Source organism: Homo sapiens, chromosome 2 (assembly GCF_000001405.40).
Source record: "Homo sapiens chromosome 2, GRCh38.p14 Primary Assembly".
NCBI classification, from domain to species: domain Eukaryota; kingdom Metazoa; phylum Chordata; class Mammalia; order Primates; family Hominidae; genus Homo; species Homo sapiens.
Window position 1 is genome coordinate 109,468,854 of NC_000002.12, and position 25,197 is coordinate 109,494,050.

Here is a 25,197-nt window from a genome sequence, read left to right on the forward strand (position 1 = left end):
AGAAAAAAAAAAAAAAAAAAAAAGTTAAATTCAGAGCTGCTTCTCATGGTGACGTTTTCAACCCTCTACGGCTTTGATACTGGAACTGCCTTCCCAGTTAGTGGTGGTCTCCCGGGGGCTACTAGATGCATGTCAAGCTCAAGGTCTTCTAAAGGGCTCCAGCCACCAGTCTTGGCTCAGGAGGCTGTGGGAGCAGGGCCAGGCATGTAAGCTGAGAACACAGGCTGTGCAGGGCCTGAGGTGTGGCTTTGCACCTTGTGGCCCATGCCATGCCTTTCTTCTCCACCCCAAGAATGCGGGCCCCCTGCAGCATTCCACAGCCCGTGCTTACACAGCGTATTTCTTCTGTGCATTGTGCGCTATCCCAGAATATTCCTGGATGAGTGAGAATTTATCAGGAGGGAAGGGCCTGGATCTAACAGCCCTAAAGACACCACCTCACTGTGTCCTCCACTCTGTATCCTGGGGTGTGTGGCATGCGGCTGGGCCCCTGTGGCCCTTTACTAGCCCCCGTGCTTTGCTTTGGGGCCAGAACTGCCTGCCTGGTCTGTTGGTTTTCCATGCATGCATCCGCTGCTCTGTCGAGGAAGGGTTTGACAGTAATGCCTGTTGTGCAGGGGTCACACTATGTGTGCAGTGGGATGGTCTTCTGTGGCCTAATTTCATCAAAGCACAAAACTTAGGCTGCCTAGAAAATAACAGTTAATGTGTCCTCTGTGTGTGACTTCTCCTAGGTGGGCTGGCAATGGGAGCTGGGCCCCAGTGGCTCAGAGTGACTGAGCACTGGTCTTGTGTACTTCTGATTAAGGACAAATCCACAAGCTCCAGAAACCCAACAAGCAAATAGTAATAAGTCTGGCAGAACGCTGAAAAGCTTAACCATTATGTTTTTGCTGAACAAAAGAACCCCCAGATCTCATGAAGAAAAGCCAGAAAACCGTGCTTTTCCTCAGAAGGTAGATCCGAATTTTTCCAGCCGTTGGTTATGTGTGCAGCTTGGGGCCAGGCGTTTGTCCACTGCAACCACAACCTCAGACATTCTTCTGTGGGGGTCTGAGCCTGGACAGCAGTGTTCTCAGAGCACTTTCCAGGACATGCGAGCTATAAGATGAACCCATGAGCAGATACGCTTGATCCTGCAAGCTGGAGTTACTTAGTGTTGATCATTTCACTCTTCGTGCGTCCTGTCTGAGGGTTAGCTGAGCCCGTTCTGGTGGTGGGCAACCACAGAGCTGTCTTCTGGCTAATGAAGACAAAGCCACCTTCTCAACTACAAGGATTCCTTGTCCCTTCTGGGGTGGCTGGGGTGGCCCTGTCTCCTCACCAAAGGCTCCTGGGACCTCACTACGTAAAGAGATGAGATTACTTTGGAATGACTTATTTCCTCATCAATAAGTGATGGGAGTTAGAAGGATGACCCACAGCACCCAGCAGCTCTAGCCACATGTGAAATCCATGCTTGCATTTCGGGTAGACTCCTGCTCCATCTGGAAAAGATCATCTTTTCCAGAGTTTTGCTGGATCTCAACAAGTCCCTGGAAGCGCCTTGTCAATCTTTGGTTCTCAGAATTTGCTCTTCCTTATTGCACGTCTGGGGAGACACCACCCACTTGAGTGTAGTTGCCCTCTGGTCATTCACTTATTTTTCATCTATTGACTTAACAAAATATTTGTGGAGCACCCACTTTGGGACAAGCCCTGGCTCAGTACTCTACGTGCAGAGCTGAACAAGGCAGTCTGGAGGAGGACAGGCAGTTACACCAAGCTCCCTGGACTGGCTCTGACAGTGCCACGCATGGGGTGCCTAGAAACTGCTGTGGCCGGGGCTGGTGGAGGATGGGTCATCACAGAAATAGCAGAGCCAGAGGTGCAGATGTGCAGGAAGTAGAGGCCTCGGCTCAGCCACCCCTGTTCCACAGGCCACAGCTTAGAGAGACCCTTTGCAGGGAAGTCAGCTCACAGCAAACAAAGGGTGCTGACATTTCATTCCTTCTTCCTCATGATAAGAAATCTCTTCTGTTGCCTGAGGCAGAGTCAGTGTATTAGTCAATTTTCACACTGCTGTAAAGAAATACCAGAGACTAGGCTGGGTGCGGTGGCTCACGCCTGTAATCCCAGCACTTTGAGAGGCCGAGGAGGGCAGATCACTTGAGGTCAGGAGTTCGAGACCAGCCCAGCCAACATGGTGAAACCCCATCTCCACTAAAAACACAAAAATTAGTTGGGTGTGTTGGCAGGTGCCTCTAATCCCAGCTACTTGGGAGGCTGAGAATCACTTGAACCCAGGGGGCAGAGTTTGCAATGAGCCGAGATCGTGCCATTGCACTCCAGCCTGGGCGACAGACTCTGTCTCAAAAAAAAAAAAAAAAAAAAAAAAAGAAATTAATACCTGAGACTGAGTAATGTATAAAGGAAAGAGGTTTGATTGACTCTCAGTTTCAGCTGGGGGTGCCACAGGAAACTTACAATCATGGCGGAAGGCAAAGGGGAAGCAAGCACCTTCTTCACAAGGCGGCAGGAGAGAGAAGAGAAAGTGAAGGGGGAAGAATCCTCATAAAACCATTGGATCTCATGAGAACTCACTCACTATCACAAGAACAGCATGGGAGAAACTGCCCCCGTGATCTAGTCCCCTCCCTCCAGGTCCCTCTTTGACACATGGGGATTACAATTCTAGATGAGATTTGAGTGGGGACACAGAGCCAAACCATATCAGTCAGTGGCAAAATTCATCATTGGAACAGCTCATGTAGGCCCAGACACTGTTGTATTCCATGGGTGAGGAGGTTGCTGTCCAAGCCACCTGCTCCAGGACACATGCTGGGGCGGGGTCTAAGTCTCTTTCTTTTCCACTCACCCCCTTGCTGTCTCAGCCTCACATACCTAATAAGACGGTCCCAAGAGCTTAGCCATAGGAGATAGACTAATGCACAGTCCTGGATAGCTTGTCCTGCCTTTTTGCATGGGGCACGTCTTGTTAAACTTTTTCCACACTCTATTTGCTGAGACTATGCAGACACAGGGAGAGCAGATGCCTGGCAGTTCTCTAGAAGGCAGGGGCTGTGTGAACAGCAGTTCATGTAACTTGGTCTGAAGCAGGCCATTTTCCTCCATGGTTATATTGCCAATTCAGGGAGAAGCAGAGTCCTGGGCCCCCTGCACTGTGTGGCCCTGTAGCACAGTGTGCACCTGGATTCTGACATCTCAGCTTCTTTCAAATTCCCATCCTTTTCTAATTATTAATTAGATTGTTAATTATTATTAATTAGTTAATATGATTAACAACCACCTGTGACCTCATGGTAGCAGCTCCTTATAGAAATGTAGGAGCAGTCCCCAGTTAAAAATTAGATAGGGATAAAAGCCCAAATCAGGGCACTTATTCAGGGAGGTGCCACCTGGCCAGGGTCTGGGCTGCTCCAGGAAGACGGTGGCAGGAGAGGACCCGGCCAGGGGCCTCCCGGGCCCTCCTCACCTGCACTCTCGGTGGTCTCGGGCCGGTGTGCATGCAGGGTGTCCTGGAAGCAATCTTCCTTAAGAAGCACAGAAAGAGGAAATCCAAACCATCCTGCAGAGCTTGCGGGGCTTCCCGACGGGGCTTCCCGTCAGGGCTTGGCAAGCTGGCAGCCATCAGGAAGGACTTGTGGAAAGAAGAGCTTTGATTTACGGTTGCTGCCTCAGAAACCCCGATCCAATTGATGAACCGACCTGCGGCTGCCTTCTGGTTGGATGAAGTGATTTCCATCCATCTGTTTCATTTAAAAACAAAATTCAGGAAGTGAGCTTGCCATACCTGACTAAATAATAGTGTGTTTAATTTTTCCTGTTTCATTCCAGACATCCTTCAGAAGGAGGCCAGATTTTACAGAGATTTCATCTGAATGCATTCCATTTGATCTAATAATTTATGGCTGTGTTGTATTTGTCCTACAGAAAGCCAGCCAGACGCCCGTTGGAAATCCAACACACAGCAAAGTTATCCTAATGGACAGGGTCGTGACACACTCAGACATATCCCAGGGCAGACAGCCCTGCTCCAGCCTCTTATTTCTGTCTGTCCTACCTTTGGCCTAATCTCCTTTGAAGCAATTTTAAATGAATGAATGTGGTGCTATAAATTCTACCCGACTCGTGGGGCCTTTCCTACCTTAGTGAAAAGATAATGTGTTGGCTGAGATGGCAAGGAGACAGGGTCACATGGTGTTGCAGCCTTTCAGATGCGAGTCCCAAGAATCTAAAGAGAACTGACAGCCTGGCATTTAATCGCCCCTCATTTAACAGCATTAACTCAAGTTAACTCTTGCAAAGCTCTGTGATGGATTTTCCCAGGGAAGCGGCTTCCTGCCTAGACATACGAGCGCCTCACACAGGCCTGGGCTGGCCCCATTCGACGCCTGGGCACCACTGGGAGCCTGGAGCTGGGGTTGGGCCCTGCAGAGCCAGAGCCTCTTGGCCATGGGCAGCTGTGCCTGGGCTTGTGGCTGGTTACCAAGCACAAGTTGACATCGTGTTCAGAATAGGGCGTGCTCTGAGGCCCCCATCAGCATTTGGCACCAAATTGGGACAAATACAATGAGGTCTGAGCCCCTATTTTATTTGGGGAGGCTGTGGGGGATGTAAAATAGCAGATATAGGTGATAAAGAAGGCCTGAGCAACAGAGCCATGCCAGGGTTAGAGCGACAGAGAGGAGAGAGAAATAAACCCTCTGTAACTGCTCATCTGGGATTCAAAGAAGATGGTTTCTGAATGGGACCTAAAGCACAAACAAGGTTCAAGGGGGAGGGATGAGGGAGCATATGTGTCCTAGGTGGAGGGAGGAAGCAGCGTGCCATGTCCTGCTGCCGTGCCCAGCTCACTCAGCCACCCACCCACCCCACCCACTCCTGCCTGCCTCAGGCTACCTCCTCCCCTGTAACACTGAGCCTGAGAGGCCTCTGAGCCCCCCGTGCACAGCCAGCACCTTAGCCGCAGGCTGTCTCTTTTTTGGGGTGTCCCTGAACCGCTCTCCTTGTGCCCCTGAACCGCTCTCCTTGTGCCCCTTGATCATCAGCAGTGCTGTCATTACCCCTAGGGTAATGCTGCCCTCCCACAGGGGCAGAAAGTCTTTATAGACTCTGTCCTGGAAGGTGCTGGAGGCCAATGAGGTTATGACAGGGGCTTTGATGCTGGAGACTTTCTGTGCCTCTGTGTGGCCTCCTCACCTTTGGTTTGGGGGTTCGTGGCTTCCATTTGATGCACAGTCTGGGCCGGGCTGAGGAAGGTGGCAGGTGTTCAGAAGACGCAGGTGGCCAGGGAAGCTTGGCCGCACCTGCGTAAGAGCACACACCTGTGTGTGGGCAGGTGTAAGCCATGCAGTGGCTCTCTAGGGAGGTGGGTGTGGGCACATTTGTCTGCAGCAGTCCTTTTAGCAGTGGGAGAAAGAGCTGAAGTTTTGAGCCGGACAGTTAGTTATGTGTCAGGCTGTTTGAGAGGAGAAACCCCTGTGGGTTTCTGTGAGCCATTTGGGCTGTAAGTGTGAGCTAGCTGCGTCTAACAAAGCTCTCCCCCTAACAGAGAAGGAGGGGCTGTTTCCACTGTGGATGCAGCTCGCTACTGATGGGAACCTAGGTGGTCCAGAGCAGGCCATGATCCCTGGGGACAGGCGGCAGCAGTGGGAGGCCCTCAGTTGGCCTGAGGCTGGGATTACAGTCCGAACCGCACGGGGCTTATAGCCATGGGCACAGTGTCCCTGCTTCAGACTTACCCAGGTTTGGGCAGGGGGGGAGAACGCAGGTGAAATTCCAGAAGCTTCCCGCTGGTCTGCCCTGGACAGCATCGGGCCAGCCCCTTACTTTTCTCCAAAGCATCGCAGATACTTCACCACCATCACAGGAAACAGTGGGGCAGAGCCAGATGGATCCAGTGATCCGAGGCCCTGCACACCCTGGGACAGGAAGCACAGCAGGACTGACAGCAAGTGCCCAGGGCCAGTGCCCTGTGTGCGCCAAAGTCTACACTCACTCATAGTCCAGCAACCCTCCAGAGCCAGCAGGGAAGGGCAGCACCCCTCCCTGAATCACAGACATTAAAATAGCACCTTTCAGTGTTTTTTGTCTTTTGTTTTGTTTGGGTTTTTTTTGTTTGTTTGTTTGTTTGTTTTTTTGAGACGGAGTCTCGCTGTGTCACCAGGCTGGAGTGCAGTGGTGCGATCTCTGCTCACTGCAACCTCCACCTCCCAGGTTCGAGCGATCCTCCTGCCTCAGCCTCTTGAGTGGCTGGGACTACAGGTGCGCACCACCACGCCCAGCTAATTTTTTGTATTTTTAGTAGAGACTTGGTTTCACCATGTTGGCTAGGATGGTCTTGATCTCTTGACCTCGTGATCCACCCGCCTCGGCCTCCCAAAGTGCTAGGATTACAGGCGTGAGCCACCACGCCCGGCTTCAGTATTATCTTAAATCTCCGAGGGCTACAGGACTATTGTGTCTGCCAAATGGATTCTTCATTTCTCCACCTCCTCATGCTCCAAAGCAAACCCACGCAAAGTGGCTACCAGTCCCCCTGCCTTCCAGGAGCTGTTCAGAATTTAGTACCTGCAGCTTCTTGGGTCTTAAAGCAAAAGCTGGGAGAGGAATGGGTCGAGAGGCAGCCTGGGGCGCTGAAGCCACCCACCTACTTCTGCCTCATACAGTTGGCTGTGGGTGGGGACAGGGACATATGCCACAGAGGCTGACACCTGCCCTGTAGCCAGGGCTTCTCAACCTTGGCACTATCAGAGCCAGATAATCCTCTGTTTTGAGGACTGTGCTCTGCATTGTAGGATGTCGAGCAGCATCCCAATTTCTACTTTGTGGATGCCAGTAGCACGCTGCTGCACCCCAGCTGTGACAGCTGAAAATATCTCCAAATGTTGCCAAATGGCTCCTCGGGGGCAGAATCACCCTGGTTGAATTCCTGGTTCCTCTGAAACAGTGACTGAGTGTCAGCACTCTGGGGCCTGGCTGCCTCTACCTTGGGCTATGCTGATATTGATTACCTTAAGCAACTCATTTCTCTTTCCACATCTTCACGAGCTTCACCTTCATCAACAAAAGAGCCCTAGGCCAACCAAAAACTTCCTGTGGTGAAATTTAGCTTGTTGGAGCTGACTCTTCTTGCTCAGCTGAAACTGTGCCTGCTGATGAGTAAGTCCTGGAGATCGGCTGTGCCCAGAGTTAGCAGTACTGTACGGTATGCTTAGAAACTTGTAAGAGGGCAGATCTCAGGTTAAGTGTTCTTACCAAACTAAGAGGAAATTATTTAAAATTTGCTTATTAGCACAGCAAAGGCTGGAGAAGGCTCTATAAGGGATAAGCTGTTACCTGAGTCCTCCACTCAGCCCTGCCCCCACCAGGCCTGCTAGCACCCACAGCACAAAGTTCTCCAGACACAGTGGGGTTGTGGGCACAGTACCCCAAGGGGGTCAAGTGAAGATCAAATGAGATCATGTATGTGTCAGTCCTTTGACAACTGTGCCTAACCCCAAGGGGAGGTACTGGGTAGCCCCTGGGTGAGGTACTGAGTAGCCCCTAGGGGAGGTACTGGGTAGCCCCAGGGGAGGTAGTAGTACTCAAATCCCATCAGACTCTTCAGACAGTTCATACAAGGAGGTCTAGAACCCAAGATATTTGGACCTTCAGGTGAAGCCTGGCTCTAGCATGTCAAAGGCTAAAAGATACTGGACTTTCCTCTAAAGCTCTCGGGCTCTCCATGAGCCTCAAACACATGGTTATGAAGTGATTGTGTTACAGGAAAGGGGTCCCAATCCAGATCCCAAGAGAGGGTTCTTGGATCTCCCGCAAGAAAGAATTCAGGGTGAGTCTGTAAAGTGAAAGCAAGTTTGTTAGGAAAGTAAAGGAATACAAGAATAGCTGTTCCATAGACAGCAGCCCTGAGGGCTGCTGGTTGCCCTTTTTTATGGTTGTTTCTTGATGATAAGCTAAACAAGGGGTGGATTATTCACACCTCCCCTTATTAAACCATATCGGGTAACTTCCTGACATTGCTGTGGCATTTGTAGATTGTCATGGCGCTAATGGGAGTGTAGCAGTGAGGACAACCAGAGGTCACCCTCATCACCACCTTGGTTTTGGTGGGATTTAGCTAGCTTCTTTACTCCAAGCTGTTTTATCAGCAGGGTCTTTATGATCTGTGCCTTGTGCTGACCTTCTGTGACTTAGAATGCCTTAACTGTCTGGGAATGCACCCCAGTAGGTCTCAGCCTCATGTTACCTAGCCCCTACTCAAGATGGAGTTGCTGTGGTTCAAACGCCTCTGACAATTGGCCTGAATGACCGTTGGCCTAGGAGAACTGGAAATCCTTGAAGCTTACTGCACTGCCCCGGGTTGCACACCCTCACGTGGTGACTGTCAGGAACTGGCCCAGAGTGGGGGAAGTCACTCCCCGTTCCTGCACAGGCACAGCCTTCACGCCCAAAGACCATGCCGCTCCCTGCCCTCCATGAAAAAAGTGACAGGTATATGGGCCCACCACAATCATTCATTCCCCACAGCCACTGTCCTTGGAGGCTCCTTCATTCTTACCTCCCCAACCCAACCTCAAAGTCCCGAAACGGGCATAGAGTTCTCCCAGCTGTGGGCTGAGAGGCCCCCTCCCGCCAGACACATGCTGAGGTGAGACCAGGAGAGCCTCTCCCAGCAGGAAGAGGGCAGTTAAAGGGACTGGGGTCACAGCGCCTGTTGTAGTCCCTTGAGTTGCTGTAACAAAATGCCACAGATGGGTGTGTGTGTGTGTGTGTGTGTGTGTGTGTTGGTGAGGGGTGTCAGCAACAGGAGTGATTTCCCACAGTTTTGCGGGCTGGAAGTCTGAGATCCAGACACCACAGATTCGGTGTCTGGTGAGGACTGGCTTCCTGGTTCATAGACGGCGCCTTCTCACCGTGTCCTCACGTGGTCAATAGGGCAAGGGAGCTCTCACGACCCGATCATCTCCCAGAGACCCCACCTCCTAAGGCTATCACACTGGGAGCTGGGGTTGACATGACTTTGGGGAACATGTGCATTCAAGTGCAGCAGCCCCACACCCTTGGCATGGACCTGCAGGAAAGATCCTGCCCTGCCTTTGCTGGAGGGTTCCCGCAAGGGCCTCCTCCTCACCTCTCCCCACTGCTCATGAAATATTACTGGAATGATTAGAAAGCTGAGAGAGACCCTGGGGAGGAGGTCCCTGAGTGTCCCATCCACCACAGTGAAGAAGGGGCCCTGCCAAGGGCTTTGAGCTCTGCAGCCGGAGAGGAGCTGCCTGATTGGAGGCCGCCTTTGGGGCAGGCGATTCTAGTGCATTCTATGACCTAACGGCCTTGTTAAGTTTCACACTTCACGCTGGCTCCCAGTGTATTTTTCATTCCTTCTCTCTCTCAGTTCCCATAAAGCCGTCTAGCTGTCCCTGTGATACATTCAAACTTGCACTGTTTGGATTCCCTAGGCTGTCTGAAAATGTGTCCTTTGAGTAAAATCCTTCTCCCTCAATTCCCAGTTACGTCTTTAAATCAAGATGGGCCCTCCAGTCTCTAAACACCCCATCAGTGTGAGATGGCACCTTGTTTGCTTTTAAGACCTGCGATTTGGTTTGAATGTATTCAGTTATCTAGATGTCTTCATGCTTTCCATGAAAATGTACTGAGGTTCAGTCCTTGGCATTTTTCCTTGCAGAATTCTTCTCTATTATTTGGATGTCTGGTATCCCTACAATTATACATGCTTCCAACATTTCTGTCAACTTTTCCTAAGAAGTTTGTTGGAATGCGCTTTCATTTTTCCATCCCACACTTGTTTATCAAAAATACGGTGTGGTGGGGAAGGGAGAGAGGGGGAGAGTCTGAGCTCGTAGGTAAGATCTTCTTGCTCAGAGGCCATGCGACGGGCTTATCATACAGGTTGGGTCTAGCCCTGGGAAGCTCATGACAGGTGAGAATGAAACCCGCTCCAGTTACTTTTGCTGCATAACAAATCATCTCAAAACTCAGTGGCTTAAAACCATAGTTTCTTTGTGAAACTCAGGGATGCTGTGGGTTGGGAATTGGGGCAGGGCATGACAGGAAGGCTGTCTCTTGTCCACCATGTTTAGGCCTTAGCTGAGAGAACCTGCAGGTTTCGAGATTTGCTGGCGGGAGCTGCAGCCTCCTGGAGGTGGGCTGGCTTATGTGTCTGGCGGGTGGTGTTGACTGCTGGCTGGAACCTTGGCCGGGCTGCAGGTCAGAGCACCAGCACACACTTCTCAACGTGGACAGCATGAGCTTCCTCACAATGTGGCGACTGGGTTCCGAGAGTGAGTGCACGGCCTGCCCTTGACCTTGCCTCAGGGTCACGCAGTGGCATCTCCCCTGAGCCCTGCTTGTGGAGGATGTCACAAGAGGTCTGCCCAGCACACAGGGTGGGGACACGGTCCTGTGACTTAGTTAGGGGAGTGCCAAAGGCTTTTTGTAGAGGGGGGCTAGTGAGTAGAGACACAGTGTTGTGGCTGTATTTAGAAAATACAATTTGCCACATGATCTAAGGTTCACTTTTAGCTCTGTGACCTATCATTCTTTCCTTGAGTTCAGTAGGAACATTTCTTGTCTGGCACAGCTGCCTCCGGTTTGGTACTTTTTAATTAAGTGCGAAAATAAGTTCCACCGTATCTGTTCTCCCTGGGGTGTCGGGATGTCCAGCTTCCACCGGCCTCATGGGCAGAGGAAGCAGCAGCCAGGGCAGGGCCAGGTGTGCCCGTACAGGACTGGCAGCCCAAGGCAAGGGGTCAGGGCTCTACTCCCACAGACAGAGCCCTGCACTTTTGTCTCCTCATTTTTAAAAAATGAATTAAATGATCATTTTCTTAATGTTAGAAAGGAGGGAATGAACCCCCTTGTGAACCTGCTAAAAGCCAATTATCCACACTGCTCTTAACTTTGCAATTCTACGGGTTTCGCAGACCCCCAAAACCATCCACAGACCACTGATGAAGACCCCGGGACTCACTGCCCTCAGAGCCTTCATACGGCAGCACCTAACCCACCTGCAGCACGAGGATCTCCCTGGAGCTCTTGCTCCAGCCCAGCCCGGTTTTGCTGACAGCCCCTCTGCAGCCCAGTGGTATGCAGGTGACATGTCCCCTGAGGCCACGCGTCATCACAGCCTGAGGGAAGCAGTGGTTTCAACCCTGCTGTGGGTTGAGGACAATTGTCTAGAGGAAAGGACCCCATCCTGGCACTTCTCCTTTAGCTGAGAGGTGATACTTTCTTTTCCAACATAGTGAGAAAGCAACACTTGCATATCAACCACATTAAGACATCTGCTTTCAGAAAAGAAGGCGTTGTGCCCAACATCTGCATGGCACCAAACATCTGTACTGTAGCCTTGTTGATGACCAGAGCAGGCAAGGCGGCATCTCCCAGGTGCCCAGCACTTGAGCCCCATGTTTGATCCCCACAGCCACCCTCTATGACAGGTGCTGTCGCTATCCCCAGTTTACAGATGGGAGAACTGAACAGAAGACATAAGGCATTTGTTCAAGGGTGCATGGCTGGTGAGTAGTGAAGCCAGCTAAGATGGCCATGAGGCTGAGAAAAAGAGAGTAATAAGGAGAGGAGTCCAGATGCCAGCCCCTGTTAGTCCTGAGGGTGCCAAGGTCATAGGGAGGTGACATCAGACTGGCTGAATTAGTGTCTCAGGGGGCAGCCAACACTTGTCACTCAGGAAGTCTCGCAGGGTAGAGGTCATCCCGAGCAGCCATGGGGTGCTCTCTGCTGCCCTGTGGGAGGAGGAGGAGGAGGATGGAGACGAACAATGCTGTACTGGCATGTGGAGGGGTGGAGCACACTGGGTACAGGCTCCTAACCTCTGTCTTGGCCTCATTCCCCTCCTCTCCTCCTGGATCCCCTGGGCTCACCTGGCTGCTTGCCTGGGCACAGGGACCTGGGACATTATGACCTCCGGCTCTCTCTAGCTGGGACCTCATGGAGGGCGGTTCGCTGTTCTCTAGCTTGGAGCTTGGGGCATCTGTGGATGGTTTGATTTGTGTGGTTTCTGTCTTAAAAGAATGTCTAGAAGAAGCGGCAGATAAAAGGCCTGGAGCTCACTGGAGAGTTGGGTTTGAGATACTTCAGCCATGGAAGGGAGAACTGAAGAGCCAAGCTGTGTCATTGCTTCAGGCAAGAGGACACCGATAGGGAAACAGAGGGACAGGCAGCCTGAGGGCATTTCTCACCTGCTGCTGCCAAAAAGAATCTGACAGCTGTTCAGAAAGGCAGGAGAAGAAACCCTAAGACGTGTCAAGAAATCCATGAGAGGGGAACATCTCAATGGAGAGGTGAGGGGGAGGCCGGGGCCCTGCAGACGTCAGGTTGGGTGGCGAGGGTCCCCCCACACAGGTCTCTCTGTGCTCAAGCTCCAGTCACCATGCTGTCACCACAGTTGCTGTGTCTGCTGGCAGCTGGAGGGTGCACCTGTGCCTTCCACTCAGCAAACTGAGTTTGAGCAAATACGGAAAAACAAGTTTATTGCGGCTATGCTTCTGGCAGCGTTCCTGCCCACAGGCCAGAGACTGGTGTATTTCCTCCAGTTTGGAGCTTCTGGTATGTTCTCGGTGACTGGTCAAGGCTGGGCTATTTCAGGACTTGGAGAACCTCCTCGGCCTGTTATTGCTCGGGAAGTTTCCAGAAGGCTGTAGATGCGTAGCTGGCTGTCCAGTCCCATTGCATCTTCCCTCTTGAGCAAATAGCTAAACGTGCGCTTCATCCCTCCACTCAGGCTGTGCTAATAGGAAACCAAAGCGGCCAAGGGGCTGGACATGTGGATGGAGGGCTCTGCCTCGCAGCACCTCCAAAACAGTTGCCACTTACAGAGAGCACACTAAGTGCAGACGCTGTGCTGTGTGCTCTGCAAATGTCACTCCTCGGCCTCCCCTCTGCACCGAGACAACTGCTACCATGAGAATCCTGTCTTGAGGAAGCCCAGAGGGGCAAGGTGCCTGCCCAGGTCACAAGGTTGATGAGCAATTGGCCAAGTCACTGTTTTATCACCACGGAATCACTGCTGGAGTTTGGTAATGGTCGTTGTATGTGAATGCCTCTGTGCTCCCCTACAAAATGACTGAAGCAGACTCAGACCTCAACGGTGCATTCTAGGGATGCCTTCCAGTTACTGAATGGCGTACTGGGGTTATGTGCATTGCCTTGCTTAATTTTCACGATAAGGCAGTAGAGCCACAGTTAAAATTTGGCCTCAGCAAGTCCCGGGTTCGAATGCGGCTTGTGCAGCTTTTGAGTTGATTACCCTGTGTCTCTTGTTCAGCATCTCAGAGCCTGTTTTTTCTTCAGGGCTGCTTTGAGAATTCAGTGAATGAATGTATGGGCAAGACTTAGGACAGTGCCCGGCTCATAGTCAGCTCTCAAGAAATAGGTCTCAGCATAGTAATAATTATCATTATATTTAGATAATTATGTAGTCCGTTTTACACATGAGGGAAGTGGGGCTAAGAGCAGTTCAGGAACTTGTTCAAGATCAGCCAACTAATAAATACCAGGGACACCCAGCTCCATCTGTTGCCAAAGCTGTCGCAGCATCACGCACTTCCCGCAGAACACCGTGCTGTGGCTGTTTATCTTCTTGAAGTTCCTCAGGGAGTCAGTCTCTTTTGTTTCAGGAGCTCCCTGACACCGTGGTGAACTTGGCCGGTCATCCAAACCCACTCCCGCGCCCAGCCCGGGGCCATGACCCCTAAGAGGGGGAGAGCAGTGTTCATTTTGCTCTTCACCATCGTTTTGAGTGCTGTAAATGGTAATAATCCTGATGCCCAGGGCTCAGCTTCCAAGAACAAGGATGCCCTCAGCTCCCTGTCCCTGCCTGCACCTCCGGCTGCTTCCTCTCCTGCAGGAGGAAGGGCAGGGAACAACTGCTTCACCACTGATAACAGCAAGAGAGCAACACGATGCGGCGGTCACGTCTTCCACCAAAAACAAGCTAGAGAAGCACAATAGCTCAGCACTTCACTGGCTGCTGCCTCCCGTTCCCTGCTATTTTCATGAACCAATTTTCTTTATCTTCTGTCTTTGGCAAGGGCAGCATTTTTGAAGATGCATGTTAATGTTTAAAATACCCAATAGCTGGTGCACAATTTTTCTGTTTCTTTTAATTATCTCGTTCACTTTTTCCTCTGTATTCATTGTAGATCTTCTATTCCTCTGCCCTCTCTAAAAATGCGTTGCATATTTATATTGTTATAAACCCTCCTGTGCTCTTCCAGTAACTGTTCTCAGCATAACCAGAGAGGTGCCCTTTCCCCACTAAAATTTTAACAGAGCACAGCTTTTAATTACCTTTTCCCCATCTCCGACAGGAAAATTTCCGAACATAAAATAATAATCAAAAAACTTCCAAGTATAACTTGCAACCCGAGAGCCAGACTCAACAAAGATAAGTCCCCGTTTCTTTCTTCTGAATATCTAAAGTTTCCTGCAAGCCCCAGTGGTGCCTCTCACATGTCCCAGGCCTCTGGCCAGGTTCCAGCCTCACTCACTGCTTGCTAGATGTCCCACTGGAGCGTATGCTCTCGGTGCCCAGCAAGAAAAGGTGCTCCCTTCTCTGAGCCAGGCCTCCCCGCAAGACCTTGGCACCTTCCGCCTGTTTTCCTGACTGCCTGTGGGTTGAGGTGGCATATGAGAACTACTTGACTGTCTTTTAAAACTCATGTTGCTTCCTTTGACTTCCTATCTGCTGTGTCGGCCAAAATACTGTTATTCAACAGATTGCTAGAGGGTGGGAATTGGCATAGAGTTTGGTATAAAGTCAAGGCTGGACACACAAAGGAGTCCCTGGCCATGCAGGCACAGAGCACATTCTTGTGGCTGTCACCCAGCTGTGCCACATGAGGTCACAGTCCTTCGACCTGCTGTCTCCATGCCTGTCCCCTCCCCAGGCTGCAGGCGCTGGGGTTGCCTTCCCTGTAAACTCCTCCTGTGACTGTCCCCATCAGCAGCCCCACCATCCCCTGCTTAGCTGGCTTGGCTCCTCAGAAGCACCTCTGCAGCCAGGGCCACATCCTGCTGACTGCATGGCCTTCAAGCCCCCCACAACCCCCGCCATCCCTGTGCCTCCACCTCTATCTCAGCTCCTTGGATGCTCCCAGCGTCCACCAGACAACCCCAGCCTCCTCAGTTGGCCCTAGAGGCACCAAGGTGTGCCATCCTCTGGCCTTTCTTTTTTTTTTTTTTTTTTGAGACCGAGTCTCGCTCTTGTCTCCTAGGCTGGAGTGCAGTGGCGTGATCTTGTCACTGCAACCTCTGCCTTCTGGGTTCAAGCGATTCTCCTGCCTCAGCCTCCCAAGTAGCTGGGATTACAGGCGCTTGCCACCACGCTCAGCTAATTCTCATATTTTTGGTAGAGATGGGGTTTCACCATGTTGGCCAGGCTGGTCTCGAACTCCTGACCTGAGGTGATCCGTCCACCTTGGCCTCCCAAAGTGCTGGGATTACAGGCATGAGCCACCCTGCCTGGTCATCCCACTGCCTTTCTTACCTCACCAGGCACCTCGACCCTTGGCCCATCCACACTCTGGCCCGCACCTGCTTTTTGCTAGATTTACCTGTTCCACACCTCTGACCACTCCCTTGGCCACATCACTCACCAGCCCAGGCCTTTTCATTATCCCTATATCAGCCCAGCTCTTGAGGCCCGCCCCCTCCTGTGGAGTTACCTCCTGCCCTATCAGCTAATCAACAGCAAAGCTTCCCTGGTCCATCATATCTAGTACCATTGTTTCAAAACAACATTGCAACTTTCTCCTTTTTATTTTTCCCCTCTTAAATTAAAAAGAAACTCACAAGTGATGCAATAAATCAAATAACAGAAAAGGGTATAACAAAACTGAAGTACTGCCCTGTCTCCCTCTGACCCTGCCTGCCCTGAGACCTGGTATCAACAGTCGAGGCCCTGTTTATTTCTGTGCTTTCCTGGGACTGTCTGCAGGTGCTCCCAGGCCTCTGAGGATCCACTTGTGTCTGAACATCTCTACCCAGTGACAACTATCTCCCCAGTCTCAGGTCACAAAAACATCTTTGTGTGTACCTGGTGGAGTTAAAGTGTACGATTGTGTTCAATCCTTTATTCCCAAAGCTGGTGAGTTTTTACCTCCCCTTCTGGTGCTGAAAATAGTACGTAACCCATCAGCGTGTGCAGCGCAGCATGTGCAGGGTTCTGCAGATTGAGGTTCTCATGGGTTATCATGGCTAACTTTGCAAATTGAGTCCCTTTCTATCTGCTTCCCATGGTACCTGACCCAGCGTTTGGTGTGTGCCCAACCAATGCAAACTGATCTTAAATATTGCCTGAGGCAAAGAGAATTAAGACGGGAAATCTGTTTGAAAGAAGTGGTGGGACAGCCACCTGTCTCCACATGGCTTAATCAAGAAGGTAACTGAATAAATGTGCACTTACGGGTCACATGTACAGGTTTACTTCATTTTCATGAAATGACTTGTATCTCTGTTTAATGTTGCTTTTTGCAAATCAAATTGTATTCCCTTTGGCTCCTTAAAATTTCAGAGACAATTTTCCATAACTTTTAATTGACCTTTAACTGGCACTGAATCTTAATTTAAGCTTTCAATTGCTTTTGCCAAGTTTTTATACTAATGTTCTACTAAACAGTTAAGGCCCCTAGAGGAGCCCCCATCTTAATCATAACAAAAAAATCTATTACTTTACCATTTGTATAATGTTTTATAGTTTTCCTGTATAGAGTGTAGTATGAATAAACGCCTTCAAAATTCTCCTTTTTAAATATCAGATTTCTAGATGATTCTTTAAAGTGGAGTACCACTTGATTTCAGGCTTCAGGCTGTGTGTGTGACTGTGAGTGTGTAAGCACACAAACACACATGGCTTTTTCTGGATATAACTCATAAGCTCTCCCTTCTGTAACATGTCAGTGTTCCGTGCCTGGGCACAGGGATGCTTTCACACCTAGATCTTGAGAGCCAGGGCTGCAGCACAGCCTCATCGCAAGCCTCCAGTCCCTGGCCCTCCCTGGCCCTTGATCTCCTACACACCTACCAGCACCTGGCTTCTCACCTTCTGTCTGGGAAGGTGGGGGCTCACCTGGAGCCAGCCAGACAGCTCAGGTCCACAGAATCAGTGTGTGCGCTCCAGCCAGAAGTCCAGCACTGTAGGGCCCTGCTTTCAACCCATGTGTGTCCCTGGCTGGGGGCACTGAGTAGGTGTTAGTAACCCTCAATAACCTTTCTTCACCTTCCCAAGGAGCTGACCCCTTCTCTGTGTCTTGACATTACTCTTTGTCGTCTGGAAATCACTTACCGAGTTGCATGACGACCATTGGCTTCTGATTGATCACTTCCTATGTTCTGTATCAGAATCATTTTTTGGTCCTCATTTCAGACCCACAGAAGCAAAATCTTTGGGGGTGGGGCCCACATTTTACATTTTGTGGAACTCCCTGATTGTTTCTTTGTATACAGAGTTGGAGAGCTGAGAGACCCTCAGTGGTTCGGGTGCTCTCCCAAGGCAAGGCAGGTGGAGGTCTTGGATAGGAATCTCATTTTATTTATTTGACAAAAATATATTGGGAACTAACTAGGTCCTAGGTATTTCGTAAACTATTTAATATTCAGAGATGAGTAAACACATTATAAAAACAGCAACATAATCACCAGATATTGATGAGATGCATTAGTCCTTTAAAAGCGCTCCTATAGCTGTCATCTCAGCAGCTCAGCGAGGCAGATGGTACCCTTCCAAAGGTGCAGAAACAAAACGCAGGTGGTGGGGATGCAGAGCCGGGCCTTCACCACACCTGCAGAGTTTGCACCCAGCAGTGTGGTTGGCGCAGGATGTGTTAGAGGAAGGGGAGGGGGAAGCTGGGCAGGCTGAGGGCACTGGGTGGTGGGGAGGGCCTTCCAGAAGAGAGACATCCCAGCAGGGCGACAGCAGCCCATCACTTCCATGGAGGAAGGACCAGTGCACCTTTCTCGGCAGATCTGTCTCCCGCCCAGGCCAGGATGTTTCAGAGCAAACGAGACGTTTTGTTCCTAACAGATCCGGCTGTTTGGTTTTCTCCCTGTGAGGCTGAACTGATTGGAGCCTGGCCATCCAGAAGGGTCATTGGAATGGAAAGTGATCCCCCCAACAGAGAGGAGTGCAGGCCACAGATGGAAACAGCAGAGTGCTAGGGGGAACGTTTGCAGAAGAAGGCAGTCAGGAAAACGTAACAGGGATGCCAAATCCACATCCCACTGGGCTCCTGAACATTGCTTGCTTACTCCCAGTCCCAGGAGAAACCCAGCAAATCCATCTTTCCTTAACATAATCTTTCAGCCCAGATCAGCCCTAAATTGTGTCCTCTAAAACCTCTTCTCCTCCCACGGTGTTGTCCCCCAAATCAGTCTATGAGCCTCTCCCCGAGTACATGCCAACTGTCCATTGGCTATTCTTTCCTGCCTCACACGGGACGACCACCAGGGAAGTGCCTAGACCGTCTACCTCCATATTCCATGGATTCCGTGAGCATGACGATTGTTAGTACTGGGAATTCCACAGCGATTGGTAATAACTGATGCTTAAGGCATTAGCAGAATTCTGTCCTGGAAGGCGGACGTTTTGGAGAGGGTTTTCTAGCCATGACATCAGCGTTTTTCCAAGTTAATTAAGTGTTTAGTTTATTTAATCCTGGAGAATTGAGACAGGAAAATTATCCATCACATTTACGCACCCCACCCTTTCCAAAGCAGACAGCTAAGGTTGGGCCTGACTGCATATACTCTCAGCAGCTGGGCAGTGAGGCAGCAGGGCCTCAGCGTCTCCAGCTCCACCATACCCCACGTCCAGGCCCACAGGGCCCAAGGTGCCCTGGGAGCAAGAATCTGCCCACCGAGTCCCTCTCTACTCAGGGGCCAGAAGGGCTCTCCCCGACGGGCCCAAGAGCCCTCAGCTGGACTCAGTTCATTCAGCAAACAAGTGTTGAATGCCTGTTGTGTTCTCAGCACCGTGCTAGGCGCTGGTGGGGATACTGCAGTGAACAAAACAAACACGACCCCTGTACTTCCAAAGCTTTGATTCTAGAGGGGAGCCTAGACGGGGATGAACAGCCACCAGGCCCCTTCATGGTGAAGAGGAAACAGAAGTGGGCAGAGAAAGGCTAATTCCTTTTCCTTTGGACAACGCAAGGCCACCCAGGTCTCCTGCCTGCCAGGAGGGGAGGAGCGGCCAGCAGCCCCAGAGCCTGCAGAGTGGGCTCCGCCGGGACACCTGGGGCAGGCCTGGCTTCTGTCCCCGCATCCTGGCCTGCTGTCCTTGTGACCTAGGGATCCCAGCCTTAGCACTGATGACATTTGAGGCCAGATAACCCTGCCATGGGGGGTTCCCTTGCATTGGAGTATGTTTACCAACATCCCTGGGATCTGCCCACCAGATGCCAGCAGCACCCCTGAGTTGTGACAGCCCAGATGTCTTCAGACATTGCCACCTGTCCCCTGGAGGCAAGGTCACCCTCTCATCAAGAACTCTTGCTGTGGGTTCAGGCCTCCTGGGGAGCCAGTTCCCACCCCAGGTACTGCAGTTCTTTCCTTCCTGGCCTGCGGAGGGGCTGACGGGCCCAGCTGCAGGGTCTCCCATCCCCAGGCCTTATGCCCTGCCTACATCGTGGCCTGAACAAGCCTCCTCACTCCCTGCCCCCAGGCACCCCACTCAGATCCCAGGGTTCTGCCCCCGACCCCTCACGGTTTCTTCTTTTCCTTTCTAGTTTCTACCCAAGCAGTTCCCGATGTGTGTTCCTGGGAACACTCTCCCTCAAGTTGTGCCGCCAACAAGAGTTCTCTGAGAACTAGACTCGGGAAACACCACACTTTGAGCTGCCAGCACATGAAGGGCTGCAACGAAATCCATGTCTAACTGATTGCTCTAGGCTGTTTCCTATTGCTCACAACCTCCAGGGCCTGGCACGGTGCACAAGACCTTCAGGAAGTTATTGGAGGGAGAGTGAGGCAGAGGGGAGATAGGCCGGGAGGCTGCAAGCCCAGTAGCGGAGTCAGGTATCTGGATCCCCGTGCTGCATGGCTCAGAGCTGGGCCGCCTCTTCCTCCTGAAATCACCCAGAACTCCCCATGGACTGTCAGTACAGAGCCTGAAAGCAGGAACAGCTGACCTCCAGGATGAGTCCAGCCTTGGAGGAAACACATTGAGAAAAGTGGGGAGCGAAGGCCGAGACTCAGGCAGTGGAGTTGGAGGCTGGGATCCACACTTGCCCAGGGCACACCTTCATTATATCTCTTTCCCTCTCTATTGCATAAGCAGCAGTGCCTGGGGCACAGGCTCTGAATGCAGTGGGATTAATGAATACAGTGGAACAAATGCTGGTCACCAAGGGTGATGGGGATGGTCCCTTTAGACACCTTATCGGGTGGAGACCCTTCACCGGGCACTAAGCAGTATCCCACAGCCACAGGCCCCCAGACCCTGGTACAGCTGCAACAACAATCCAGGCATGTGGCCTGGGGGGACTTGGCTGGGGCCGGAGCAGTTGTGCTCTTAGACAACCAGACCCCAGCGTGGCTTGGGCCTCACGGAAAGTCCCATCAGGAACCGTGTCACCTGTCCTACAAAGTCCACTTAGAAGAGCTGGGGGAGGAGAAAGCAGATGACATTGACTGCTGGTTCCTCTACACAGACAATGACGTTGCCAGGCTTGGCCAGGGTCCCGTGACAGAGAGGGCTGTGTTGTCGGGGATGGCCCGTCAGCAGCATCCTTCTCTGAGAATGGCATCACTGGCCTGCCCTGGGGGCCTCGGGGCCTATTTTGGACATTTCTGCTAGATTTTGGAAGAGAAAGGAAAACAAGTGTCGGACAAGGTTTTTTTTGGCGGGGGGTGGGCGGGGGGGACGGAGTCTCGCTCTGTCACCCAGGCTGGAGTGCAGTGGCGCAATCTCAGCTCACTGCAACCTCCACCTCCTGGGTTCAAGCTATTCTCCCACCTCAGGCTCCTGAGTATCTGGGATTACAGGCAAGTGCCACCACACTCAGCTAATTTTTGTATTTTTAGTAGAGACAGGGTTTCACCATGTTGGCCAGGCTGGTCTCGAACTCCTGACCTCAAGTGATCTGCCCACCTTGGCCTCCCAAATTGCTGAGATTACAGGCATGAGCCACCGTGCCCAGCCTGGATGAGCTCTTGGTCTTAGCTTTGTTTTCCTCCTCTGAGCCACTTTACAAGGTTATCTTTAAAGTTTCCTGATGGAACCATTCTCCATGGGTCTCTCACCCTTCTACCCATCTTACAACTGAGATGCCATCTGCTGGCCTATCTTTTCAAGATGTCCATGTAGGCACCAGCCTTGGAAAATAGAAATAATGTCAGTCTTCAAAGCAAAGAGCAGGCATGCTTACTGCTTGACTCCGGAGCAGAGGGCCAGCATCCTCACAGTCCAGTAGAGAGGATTTGGTGTCCCGAAGCTCCAGGTCCTCTGCTTTAACACAGCCTGGTGTGCCTGCAAGCGTCACCTGGCCCTCACTGGTTCACCCGTGGGAACTGGGGTTCAGGGAACTGGTGCAAGAAAATGCTGGTACTCTGGCTACTGCTGTTGCTGTGAGTGGTAAAGTCTTTTGTCTGAAAAAATAAGAAATTTAAAAATAAAGTTCCACATAGGAAGATGCATTCCCCTCTCTCTGACAGCAAGGGCATTGGGAAGCATTCACCTGTTTGGTTTCCATCTTGTGTGTCTCCCCAGAAAGAGAAGAAGAGTGGGCTCCTGAAGCTTCTAGCCGGAGCATCCACCAAGAAGAAGTCACGCTCCCCGCCATCTGTGTCTCCAACCCACGACCCCCAGGTGGCCGTGGACGCCCTGCTCCAAGGTGCAGTGGGCCCCGAAGTGTCCTCACTGTCCATCCACGGCAGGGCAGGGTCCTGCCCCATAGAGAGCGAGATGCAGGGTGCCATGGGGATGGAGCCTCTGCACAGGAAGGCAGGCTCCTTGGATCTAAACTTCACATCTCCTTCCCGGCAAGCTCCGCTGTCCATGGCTGCCATCCGCCCCGAGCCCAAGCTGTTGCCCAGAGAGAGGTAAGTGCAGGGGCTTGTCTGCTCTGTGGCATGCTGTGGTTTGGCCTCTGAGGTCTGGAGCCACCTTCGGGGAGCAGGGACACTGTGGCCTTGCTGGGATTAGGTTTACCAGATGTACCTCAACACCCAGATCCACATGGTCCCGAGCTTGGGTGGTGAGTGCTGGATGAAACGAGTCTGGGAACTGGAGTGTTATTTCATGTTCTGCATCCATCTGATTCCTGAGTTTGGGATTGCAAAGGAGCCATCAGGAAATGTGTCAGGACCAAGTGTTTCTGAGTGCAAATAGTGGGAGACTAGGCAGTGAGTGGTCTGTGCCCCCTCAACCCTGGGGGATCCTGGAGCAGGCCCCTGGGCTGAGTCCCCAGTGGGCCTATGTGTCCCACTCAGGGAGCAGCTCTTCCCTCGCAAGCCTCAACCCACTCGGCGTCTTAGAATTGTGATGTTACTCAAGACGGCTTCAAGTCTATATCCCTTGAATTATCATGGCTTCAAGGGTATATAGTCCGTCAGACTGAACCCTTTGAAATTGCCCATATTCATTCATTTCGATGCTTACTAGCAACTTCACATAGTTCAGCCTAGGTTTTTACCGATCTGGAAACTGAGTCTGGTTGAGGCAACATGGCCCACTAAGGCTGTGGGCTGTGGGGCTGCAGGTGCTTGGGTTTCACCTGGGGCTAGAGGCGTACCTGGCTTGGATCCCCCTGTGTGAGTTATCCATCCTAAAAGGGCTCTCAGGTAAAAGCTGGAGGCATCACAGAGAGATACGATGGCTGTCAGGTTAGGATGGTAGAAAGATATGATCCTTACTGAGTGCCTACACATTGTAACATTGCTGAAATAATAAAACACAAACAACCTCCCAAAAAGACAGTCCTGGTGTTTCTGCCAGAACCTTTCCTCCCTTGGCCGTTCGGGTGCCTGCAACCCGGGAAGGCAGCCTCTGCCCTGAACACCTGCTGCCCTCCCAGACGCCATTCCCAGTGCCAGGTGGGGAATGAGACGGGGTCTATCTAGATCAGAGGTCTAGTTTTCTATCCTCACATATTCTTCTGTATAGTTTTCTAGCTTCACAGGTTCTTCGTCAAGGGCCAGATGGTAAACACTGCAGATGTTGCAGTCCTGCTGTGTCTGTGGTGACCACGTCCTCTGCCTTCACGGTGGAAGCGTGGCCACACACTGTATGTAGATGAATGGGCCGGTGTCCCAGTAAACCCCTACTTGTGGACACTGAAATTTAAATTTCGTACAATTTTCGTAGGTCATGAAATAGTCTTCTGATTTCTTTTTCAACCATTTCAAAATGTGACAACATTCACAGCTCTAAGACTACACAAATTAGCCGCAGGCGCAGTTTGCCAGCCCTGACAGAGATGATGCCTAGCGCCAAGCCTATGGGGCTAGGCCTGGGGCTCCAGAGTGGACAGGGCTCTCTGCAGAACCCGCAGCTACTGACTTCTGCTAACCAGTGAGAACGGAAGTCGCATGTACACCTGCTGTTAGCATCACAAGAGCTGGGTGTTCTGCACAGGGGTGACGTTCAGAACACTCAGCAGTGGGCATGGATTCCGGCTACGCATGCCCAGGACAGCCAGGCCCTGCCTTCTATGTTTCCCCAAGCGCTACATGTGTGTAGTCTCAGTGAACCTTCCCACGAACCCTATGAAATCAGTTATCCTCGTTTTACAGATGAGGAAACCGAGGTTTTGTAAAAGGCTAGGTAACTGGCCCAAGATCACACAGCTAGTTAGTGGCCAAGCCAGAGATTCAGCTGAGGACTTTCTGACCTCATGGCCCACGCCCTGAGCTACCTCTCTGTAGGGTGCGCAGTCAGCAGCACCCCCAGTCCTGTGTAGTCACAGGGCCTATTATCAGCTTGTGGACATCGTGGGACATGTCACAGCTCCTCCAGGGGCTGCACCATTGTTGGGTCCTGCAGATCCATCAGCACTGCCATGCCAGTCCCAGCCCCTACAGCCACACCCACAGGGAGAAGTGCCTTCCCCTCTACAGGGCCCCAGGCCCTTGGGGGACTGGGTTCACACTGCACACCACACTGTGCAAACATACACTCACCACACATACACCATACAAACACATACCCCACATACATCATACAAACACACACACCACACATACACCATACATACAAACATACACATACACCACAGATACATCATATAAACACACATACCCCACATACATCATACAAAACACATACACCACACATACGCCATGCAAACACACACACCACACATATATCATATAAACACTCACACATTACACATACAGCATATACACACGCACCACACACACTGCAAACACACACCCCACGTACACCATAGAAACACACACCATGCACACCATGCAAATATACGTACACCATACAAACACACCCCACATACGTCATACAAACAGACACATGCCACACACTGCAAACACACATGGTACAGACACCACACACACCACACATACATCATGCAAACACAGACTACACACATGTGCAAACACACTCCACATACACTATACATACAAACACATACCCCACATACACCATACAAACACATACCTCACACACACCATTGCATACCCACACCCTTCACACACCATACACATACATACCATACACACTGCACACACCCCACACACAATACACACAAACCACACACACTGCAAACRCACACCCCACACATGCTGCAAACACACACCATACACACACATATTATACAAACACATCACACACCATACACACACCACACACCATACATACACACCATAAACACACACCATATACATTATGCAGACACACACACTGCACACCAAACATGCACTGCACACACACCAGGCAAACACACATAACACACAGATACACACACTATACACAAATTGTACATCAAGCAACCACATAATACAAACACATATTCAGACACACAACACACACCCACCTTCTCTTTCCTTCTCTCCTCCTCCTCCACTTCCTCCACCTCTCATCCTCTCCTAAGGAGTCTCCTCCGCATCAGAACCTCCCTTCATGGGACCAACACCTGCTGCCTGTGTTTTCCGGATGGGTCCTGGCCCTTGTCTGGAGTCACAGAGTTGGTCTGCCGGCTC

General features: G+C 51.3%; 2 protein-coding genes across 5 annotated transcripts in view, besides 1 other annotated feature; both read left to right on the top strand.

Annotated features, from left to right (window-relative positions):
• RANBP2 (RAN binding protein 2) overlaps positions 1–25,197 on the top strand; it is a 1,122,820-nt gene that overhangs the window by 749,372 nt on the left and 348,251 nt on the right. The gene's annotated exons all lie outside the window — the stretch shown is intronic.
• Positions 1–25,197, top strand: part of SH3RF3 (SH3 domain containing ring finger 3) — a 375,430-nt gene that overhangs the window by 339,649 nt on the left and 10,584 nt on the right. For 3 of the 4 annotated variants that reach the window (NM_001099289.3, XM_047444144.1, XM_011511110.3), the window contains one exon: positions 21,752–22,083. In NM_001099289.3, coding sequence (NP_001092759.1) covers positions 21,752–22,083 — 332 coding nt within the window. Of the gene's footprint in view, positions 1–10,949; positions 16,797–21,751; positions 22,084–25,197 lie in introns of those variants that run through there. The other variant, XM_011511109.3, reaches the window with a different exon arrangement.
• Positions 1,893–2,012: an enhancer, noted in NCBI's record as "active region_16363". NCBI's record gives its function as "activates an Ori minimal core promoter by ATAC-STARR-seq in GM12878 lymphoblastoid cells {active_cell/tissue: GM12878}" and the evidence as "EXISTENCE:reporter gene assay evidence [ECO:0000049][PMID:35858748]".